The sequence below is a fragment of the Homo sapiens genome, chromosome 8, assembly GCF_000001405.40.
Source record: "Homo sapiens chromosome 8, GRCh38.p14 Primary Assembly".
NCBI classification, from domain to species: Eukaryota; Metazoa; Chordata; class Mammalia; order Primates; family Hominidae; genus Homo; species Homo sapiens.
Window position 1 is genome coordinate 126,071,827 of NC_000008.11, and position 9,541 is coordinate 126,081,367.

Genomic DNA, 9,541 nt, shown 5'->3' on the forward strand with positions numbered 1-9,541 from the left:
GTTCTACCGTTTATTTACCTTTTGATTTGGGGCAGTTACTTTACCTTTGTCTCAGTTTTGCTCAGTGGGAAAAAGAGTGATAATAGAACTTAACCATTCAATAGTTGTTGAAAGGATTACAGGGGTAATAAATACAGCATTTATACTGATGACAAACAGTAAGCACTCAATGTTATATGTCATCATTTTCCCTTAATGTTTTATTATTCCTATCAATACCACCACTGCTTTACAATAAATGCCCACAATTAACAATTGCTTTCCAATTGTATTTTTAAATAGAAACTTCGTAAATTTGCCTTCGTGCTTTTCAATAATTTTCTTTCTGTCTTACGTCTAATATTCTACAAATATCTCATGTCTAGAGATAATTGGTTAGCCTTATACCCTCCCTACGCTTGATTTCTTTGCCCACATGAGTGACACTGCCAAAAATATCCTGTTTTCCTCTACTTTTGCCAGTGTTCTTACATCCAGTTCTTTGTGGCAAATGAAGCATCTTCTTGAGATACTTTCTTCCATTGCTTCTCCTAAGATCTATCCCTCTTTTGGTTGTCCTTGTGCTATTCCGAAATATATGCATCCCAGGTTTCAGTTGCCCCCTTAACCACACTTAACAGGTAGTACTTTTGCCTTAGGAGTGTCTGGAAGCTGAATGAGCACTCATTCCCATAAAAATTCAGTAACACAATAAACATTTTATTTTCAAATAGTCTTTAAGATGTGCATGAGGGGGGATAGGGAAGTTTGGCCCACCAGAATGATCACCAAGACATACAAAGTAGACCTGGGCCCTGGGCTCCCAGAGAAGAAAAAGAAGAAGAAAGTGGTCAAAGAACCAGAGACTCAATATTCAATTTTAAACAATGATGATTACTTTGCCAATGTTTCTCCTATAAGAGCCACATCCCCTTCTAAGAGTGTAGTCCATAGGCAGGCACCTGAGATGCCTCTAGCGAAGAAAAAGGAGAAAAAGAAGGGTGTCAGCGCCCTTTGCGAGGAGCATGTGGAACCTGAGACCACGCTGTGTGCCAGACAGACAGAGAAGTCACCCAGCCCCAGGAAGCAGGTACTTGGCCACTTGAAGTTCCTCAGTGGGGAGAAGAAAAAGAAGTCACCTCAGGCTATGTCCCATGCCTCCAGGGTGAAAACCTCCTCAGACCTCAGACATAGTGAGGAGGAAACCAGAGTCGGAAAGAAACTTAAAAAACACAAGAAGGCAAAAAATAGGGGGCCCAGGACCCCACAGCCTTCTCAGTCCAGGACCCTTGGTTCTGCAAGGCCGGGATGCTGCAGACACTTGCTCAGTGGGGAAGGAGGGTGAGGAACAGGCAACCTTGGGGCAGAAACAGAAGCAGAAGAGCCCCAGGGAACACAGTGGGAAGGTGAAGAAGAAAAAAAAAATTCCACCAGGAGGGAGACCTCCTCCCAGGCCACTCCAAGCCCTCCAGGTCCTTGGAGAGCAGCCCCCATAAAGGAAGTAAAACTAAACCAGTCAAAGTTGAGGCTCCGGAATATATCCCCATAGGAGATGGCCCTAAGGCCCCCGCGAAGAAAAAGATGAAGTCCAAGAAGAAGGTCACCGAGGAGCCGGCTCTGAAAAGGAAGAAAAAAATAAGAGGAAAGAGAGTGGGGTAGCAGGAGACCCTTGGAAGGAGGAAACAAACATGGACTTAGAGGTGGTGTTGGAAAGGAAAGGCAATATGGACGAGGCGCACATAGACCAGGTGAGGCGAAAGTCCTTGCAAGAAGAGGTCCATCAGGAGTCAAGCAAAACGGAAGCTTCTGAAACCTGGAAGTGGACGGGAACCCAGTTTGGCCAGTGGGATACTGCTGGTTTTGAGAACGAGGAACAGAAACTGAAATTTCTCAAACTTATGGGTGGCTTCAAAAATCTGTCCCGGCAGTGGCGGGTGGATCACAAGGTTAGGAGTTCCAGACCAGCCTGGCCAACGTGGTGAAATCCCGACTCCACTAAACATACAAAAATTAGCTGGGCGTGGTGGCATGTGCCTGTAATTCCAGCTACTTGGGAGGCTGAGGTGGGAGAATCGCTTGAACCAGGAAGGCAGAGGTTGCAGTGAGCCGAGATTGAGCCACTGCACTCCATCCTGGGTGAAAGAGCGAAACTCCATCTCAAAACAAACAAACAAACAAACATACAAACAAATCTGTCCCCTTCGTTCAGCTGCCCACCCCCCCCAACCCCCAGCACGATTGCAAGGCCCAACATGGCCCTCAGCAAGAAGGCAGCCCACAGCCTGCAGCAGAACCTGCAGCAGGACTACGACCGGGCCATGAGCTGGAAGTACAGCCGCCGAGCCTGCTTTGGCTTCTCCACCGCCCCCCAACAAGATCTTTTATATTGACAGGAACACTTCCAAGTCAGTCAGCTGGAAGATTAAACTCTAGAGTTTTGTCTTCCTGCCCCCACCAAAAAAAAAAAAAAAAAAAAGATATGCATGAATGACACATTACAGGGTGCTCGTTATTCTGCTAAAAAGACCAGGTATTAGTTTTCAATTACTGTCATAAGAAGCTACCACAAACTTCATGACTTAAAACAACACCAATTTATGACATTAAAGCTCTGTAGGTCAGAAATCTATTATAGGTTGCATGGGACTTAAAGTGCTGACTGTAGGCTGCATTCTTTTCTGGAGGCTTGAGGGGAGAATCCATGTTCTTGCTCATTCTGGTTGGCAGAATTCAGCTCCTTGTGGCTGTGGAACTGAAGTCCCTGTCTGCTTCCTGGCTGTAGTCTGAGGGCAGTTCCAAGCTTCTAGGGGCTACCTGTATAAGGAAATACAGGTAGTCAAGGAAGACTCACAGCCTCCTCTCTTCATCTTCAAAGCTAGTTCTTATGTTCAGATCAGTTGATTAGCAAACTTAATTCTCCCAGCAACCCTAAGTCCCTTTTTGCCATATATATACCATATTCACAGTTTCCGGGGATTAAGTGGACATCTTTGGGAAAGAGTCATTTCTTGTCTTTTCTTTCTTCTTACCACAAACTATGAAACTATATCAGATATTCAGCTGTTGAAAGTTACTTTCTGATCCAGCCACTGCTTTAGATTCTTTCCCCACCCTGTTTAAAGCATGTACATCCTAATTGCTCACTTCCTTTATATAAAATATTGCATTATTATAACATGTACTTTCAAAACGAAAGCCTCACTTCATTCTTCTATCCATAAAAACAAAAGCTTTCCAGTTAATAGGAATGCACCTGTCAGTTATCTCACCCCCAAAGTCTTAGCTATCTAACTAGCTATCATGTGTCTAACTATCTACCATTTATCTACCTATGTGGAAATTCCATGTGGAACTGTGACTTACTTAAACCTCTTTTCTTGATAAATTACCCAGTCTCGGGTATGTCTTTGTAGCAATGTGAAAATGGACTAATACACCTATCACACTAATATCATCTACCTTCTATCATCTATCTATTCTAATCTATTTATCTATTGACCTAACATCTATCATCTATTTATATGTCTGTCTAATCTATTTACCTACCTATCTATAATCTATCATCTATCTACCTATCATTTGTCTTCTATCTATCTACTTTCTCATCTATCTGTTTATCTATCTACTGATATGGTTTGGCTCTGTGTCCCCACCCAAATCTCCATCTCAAATTGTAATCCCCACATGGGGAGAGAGAGACATGTAATCCCTATGTGTCGAGGGAAGGAAGCAATAGGATTATGGGGGCAGTTTCCCCCATGCTGGTTTCATGACAGTGAGTGAATTCTCATGAGATCTAATGGTTTTATGGGTAGTAATTTTTCCTGTGCTCTCACATGCTGTCTTTCACCTGCAGGCAATGTAGACGTGCCTGCTTCCCCTGCTTCCCATTCACCATGATTGCAAGTTTGCTGAGGCCTCCCCAGCCATGTGGAACTGTGACTTAATTAAATCTCTTTTCTTTACAAATTACCCAGTCTCGGGTATGTCTTCATATCTATGTGAAAATGGATTAATGCACCTATCTATAACCTATCTATCATCTATCTATCTTGTATCCATCTAATCTATTTATCCTCTACTTTTCTATCATCTATTATCTATCTATCTATCTATCTATCTATCTATCTATCTATCTATCTATCTATCTATCTCTACCTATCTCCAAATAAATGCAGCATTCTAAGAGTAATTCCTATATTAACTGCTAAGGGTTGAAAATGGAATCTTCCTGGCACTTATAGCTCTCTCTCTTTCTGTGATTACTATTATTAATACATGCCTCTTGAAGACAAGGGCTTTTCTCTGGGAGAGTGAGAACTCATGCTGAGGCCCATCCACACTCACAATCCCTTTGATTACTATGTAATTTCATATTTAATCACACCAGTCATGATGAAAATAAAAGTTTTGTAGGATATTATACTTTGCAAAATACAAATAGAATTTTACATGAAGTCCTGTGTCAATCCTGTGAGCTAGGCAAGGATCAACTTCTATACTTCCTATTTTACATTTGAAAAAAGTGAAGTTAAAGGGAATTAATCTTGCCTAAGGTCACATAACTAGTCAGTTACAGTGGGTGAATTTGAACTCAACTCCTTTCCTTTTCACTATGCCTACAATAGTTAATTCTGCAAGTTGCTGTGATAATAAATTTCTGCTTTTGACGCTGTTATAAATGTGATAGTCTAGTTTTTCCTTAAGATGATAAAAATGTCATATATATATATGATATACTGACCACCAAAATCTGTTTTCTAAAACACAGTTAGCTCACTTTTTATATATATTTTGAATTTAATTCCACACAGTTTATACTTCCTTCTACCTTTCTAATATAATTTTTAGATGTTTCTTTACTTTTAGGCTATGTGTAGTCTCTTACATTTTTTCCTTCTTCTTTACCTTCTTATGATTCTACATGGATCTCCATGTCTTCTGTGTCTTGCTCCTTCCTCCCAAGAAGAAAAGTAATTTGTTAAATATATTCACACTAGAGATACAGAGTCAGATAGAAGAAACTTAATTCAAGTTGCTAGCAAGTGGTAACAAATACTTGAACCCAGGTGGGTTTAACTCCAAAACCATGTTGTATCTCACTGTATTGCAACATGATGCTTTAAATAATTCTCCACATGGCCTGGTTTCCAGTATTTTTAACATATGTATTACCATTGTCCCAAATTCCAGATAGTTCATGTTCCTCTTAAAATGTTATCCTGGGCCCGGCACGGTGGCTCACACCTGTAATCCCAGTACTTTGGGAGGCCGAGGTGGGTGGATTATGAGGTCAAGAGATCGAGACTATCCTGGCCAACATGGTGAAACCCCGGCTACTAAAAATACAAAAAAAAAATTAGCCGGATGGGGTGGCACGCACCTGTAGCTACAGCTACTCAGGAGGCTGAGGCAGGAGAATTGCTTAAACCCGGGAGGTGGAGGTTGCAGTGAGACGAGATCACACCAGTGCACTCCAGCCTGGTGACAGAGCAACGCTCCATCTCAAAAAAAAAAAAAAAAACTTATCCTGAACCGTTCCCTTTTCCAGATGTGTATTAATTAATGCCAAATTTACCCTAAGATTGTTACCTTACCATGAACTTGGTATGGGTCTTCTATGACTCCTGCTTAAGATTTCAAAGCTTTATAATTAGTGGTGACAAATTTGACTCAGATAGTTAACTAGTAATCGTCCAAACTTCTTGGATCTTTTTTCCATCTGAACTCTGGTTAAATGACACTCTCTCATTCTCAGTTTGGACAATTGGTTATTTGGACTAAAATGCAGGGCATGGCATATGACTCAATTAACTTCTAATTTGTTGGTGTTATCCTATTATTCTGATCTTATAGACCTTGAAAGTTGTTACTCTGTTTTGTTAAAAATCCATTTTTTTCTATTTTCTCCCCCTCATTCAATTTTACATAAGTAGAGTCCCAACCAGATATCTCTTTCTTTATTCAAATAATAGAAAATGAGGTATAAGTGTCTGATGACAGTTTAATATGTTATCTCACACAGTCCTGTCCAGAATTATTTTCATTTAAATAAAATAATATTTAAAAAAAAACACTTTAAAGAGGAAGGAATGGATCTAATTAGAATACCAGCATCAGCCCAACATGATAAATCTATTTAAGAACCCCAATTTTGTTGCAAAAGAGATTTAAGGTAACTTGCATAATACAGAGCAAGATATAATAGATTAAAATTAGGGGTAAAAAAATAAAGAGAAACAAGGCGGGACCTAAGAATAGCAAGGATGAGACTAAATGTGCATATTATAAATACTTACCATGTTCCAAAAATTATTTTATAAGAGTTGGCAACTAAAAGGAAATTTTAAAAACTCTGCCTGTTACATAGTTCACAGTGTTTATAAGATATAAATAGATTTGTTCTATTCTTATTGCTGGGAGCAGACAGAAATTTCTCCCCAGGATCCTCAGAAGAGTACAGTGTGTGATGTAATGATTGATGTGCTCAACAACACCCTCTCAGTAGACTCAGGAACAAGTACAGTGAGCTGTGTCTTCTTATAGCCACCCCCAATAGAGTTTGATGGTCTCCCACAAAGACAGTTCAGTAAAAGGGCAAGGCAAGAAAAATAATCCCCTAAGGAATTGATTGGATGCACTAAGGTACAGGTTTCCAAGTTGATTGAGTCTAAACTGGGGACATATTTCAGCCATTCAGGTAGATTGTGTGGCTAGCATACACTTTAGGAGATTCTTGGCTGTATCCAGCAGGACTTTGGACAAATAAGAAGCAGCAATGATTTTCATATTACATTAGCTAATCACCACTTGGAAGGAAGTTTTATTCCATGCAGCCAGTTAAAAACAAACCCATGTGCCTTGTAGACAATTGAGCTTGTGGCTGGGCTGACATGAGCTTCATTAGTTAATTTCTTGGAAGTCAAAAAGGTTGAGCATAGTGAAATTGATCACCCTTGCTTAAAAACTTTATTGCCAGGCAAGACTCTTGTGTCAGCTGGAGAGCTTCCCTCTGTTTAGGAGTTCATAGACATTTCTAGCACAGAGGACATCATTAGGAGGTCTTGGAAAGGAATGGGGCAAATAGTATACCCCTGACTTGCAAAGGTCCTTGCTCTGTGTTGAAGCATTTTATTAGCACAGCCCCTTGATATCATCAAATTCTTGGCATCCAGGGTCTTTGAACTTTTTAGTTCCCTGGTGCCAAATTGTCTGTAGCTTCAATTTCCTTTTATATAGCCCAGAGTTTCTTTCTTTCTTTTCTGTTTTTTTTTTTTTTTTTTTTTTTTTTGAGACAGAGTCTCACTTTGTCACCCAGGCTGGAGTGCAGTGGCATGATCTTGGCTCACTGCAACCTCCGTCTCGCTGGTTCAAGCAATTCTCCTGCCTCAGCCTCCTGAGTAGCTGGGATTGCAGGTGCCCACCACCATGCTTGGCTAATTTTTTTTTTGTTGTTTTCTTAGTAGAGACAGGGTTTCACCATGTTGACCAGGCTGGTTTCAAACTCCTCACCTCAAGTGATCTGCCTGCCCTGCCTTGGCCTCCCAAAGTATTAGGATTACAGGTATGAACCACTGTGGCCCACCAGAGTTTCTTCTCTTGTGAGGCTGAGGAAACTGCTATCCCTGGCACTCACCAAGCCGAACTGTGTATTATCTTGCAGAGCTTTGTACACACCACAGTGACAGCACTTTGCCTGGCACAGTGGTGGGTGTCTGGGGAGGAAGGTGAGGAAGAGACACACTCCTTCCTTGTTCTGCTTGCACGTTTCCCTGGGGACCTTCTACCCTGCTGTACTCAGGACAGTAAATCACACAATCTCAGGAACTGTCTCATAGTTGATTTCATCTAAAGGCACATAAGAAAGTGTTTTAAAGAGACTGACCAGTAACTCTGAAATCCCAAATCACTCCTCACAAATAGGCACCAACTCTGCCTAACTTATAAAGACAGTGTTGACATGCCTGCTGGGGCTGCCTCTCCTCAGGTCCTCTTATGTCTCTATTTTTTCCAACTGTAACTGGGAACAGTGACACCTTTTCTCAGCATTGTTTTGAGTATTTCAGGCATTAACATATAAGTAAAGTGTCTTTTTGATACAGTGCCTCACCTTATCTCTATTTATATCAAGATATTTAATCATTTCTAACTACCCTGTTTTTTCCTTTCATCTTGAATTTTTGAAATTAAGATAAACTTAAAAATCCATATCTACATTTGATGTTAGTGTTTCCTTTTCAAAAATAAATTAATAATGGATCTTACATTCAATAGCTTCTTAGAAATGAGGAATATTATGACAATACATAAGTAGATAGATAAAGTGTATCACTTTTGTAGTCTCAAACCACATTGATTCCTATATAACAACTAAAGGAAGCAGTGTGCTTTGTGGGAGAACAAGCAGAGGCTTTGAAGTTACAACATATTTGAAAACTAGCTCTTTCCATTTGAGCAAGTTATTTATTATATTTAATCTCTTTGAGGCTCAATATTCTTGCCCATAAAAATGGAAACGCAGTTACATATAATAATACATATTTAATTAAGGGTGAAAATAGCATCTAGTTAGGGTTTGGCACATAGTAGATATTCAGTGCATAACTATAATTTCGAGCTAGCAACGTGCTAAATTTTGTGGGGGCTACAAAGATGAATGGAAGGAAAGTAAATTAGACTGTAATTTTTGATTGTTTATTTTCTATTAGGCTCTGTGGTTGATATTCTATGTGTGCTTATCTTAACACTCCTGAAAAGCTATGAGGAATTTTTTTAATATTTCCATTTAACAGGTTAAGGAACTGTGGCTTACAGACGTTACATAATTTATTTGGGATCAGTTCTTGCCCTGAAGGAGTTTGTATTCTAATTGGAGACAGCAGTAAAATGCATCTGAAGATCCACGAAGCTGTACAATGTAAAAGAGGCATCATAAGGACAGACATGGCATCTCTAATTGAGTGAACATAGAAAATAAGGACCAGGGAGTTAGAAGGAGAAATCTTCCTCAGTTAAAGTGTGTATCAATCAGGATTGACTGCCTTATGCTGCCATAACAAACAACCTGGTTGCTGGTTAATTTCAGATCAACCTGGTTGTTAAAAGACGTACTTTTAGCTCATGGCCATCAGAGGTTGGACATATCATAGTTGCTTAAGAAACCAGGTTGATGCAGAAGCCACCATCTTTGATTTTGTTGGTTACTCCGCCAGAGAGATATAAGAGCCCTGGAGAATCTTATAATTAATTAATTTAGTAAATGCTTGGCAATTGAATGCTGTGGCCTAGAGTCACTTCCACTTTCAAGTTATTGGACATACCAGGCATGGCGGCTCATGCCTGTAATCCCAGCACTTTGAGAGGCCAAGGCAGGAAGATCTTTTGAGGCTAGGAATTTGAGATCAAGTTATTTGACAGAACTGGTCATGTGACCCTTGAAAACATAAAGGGGCCAGGAATCATACTTCTACCATGTGCCTGGTAAGAGGCAGATCTGGAAATATCTGGTGAATGGCAGTAATAATTAACGCACAGGAGCCTAGCATAACTTGTGTTTAATTAT

General features: G+C 40.0%; 1 pseudogene; it reads left to right on the forward strand.

Annotated features, from left to right (window-relative positions):
- Positions 730-2,421, forward strand: KNOP1P5 (lysine rich nucleolar protein 1 pseudogene 5; annotated as a pseudogene).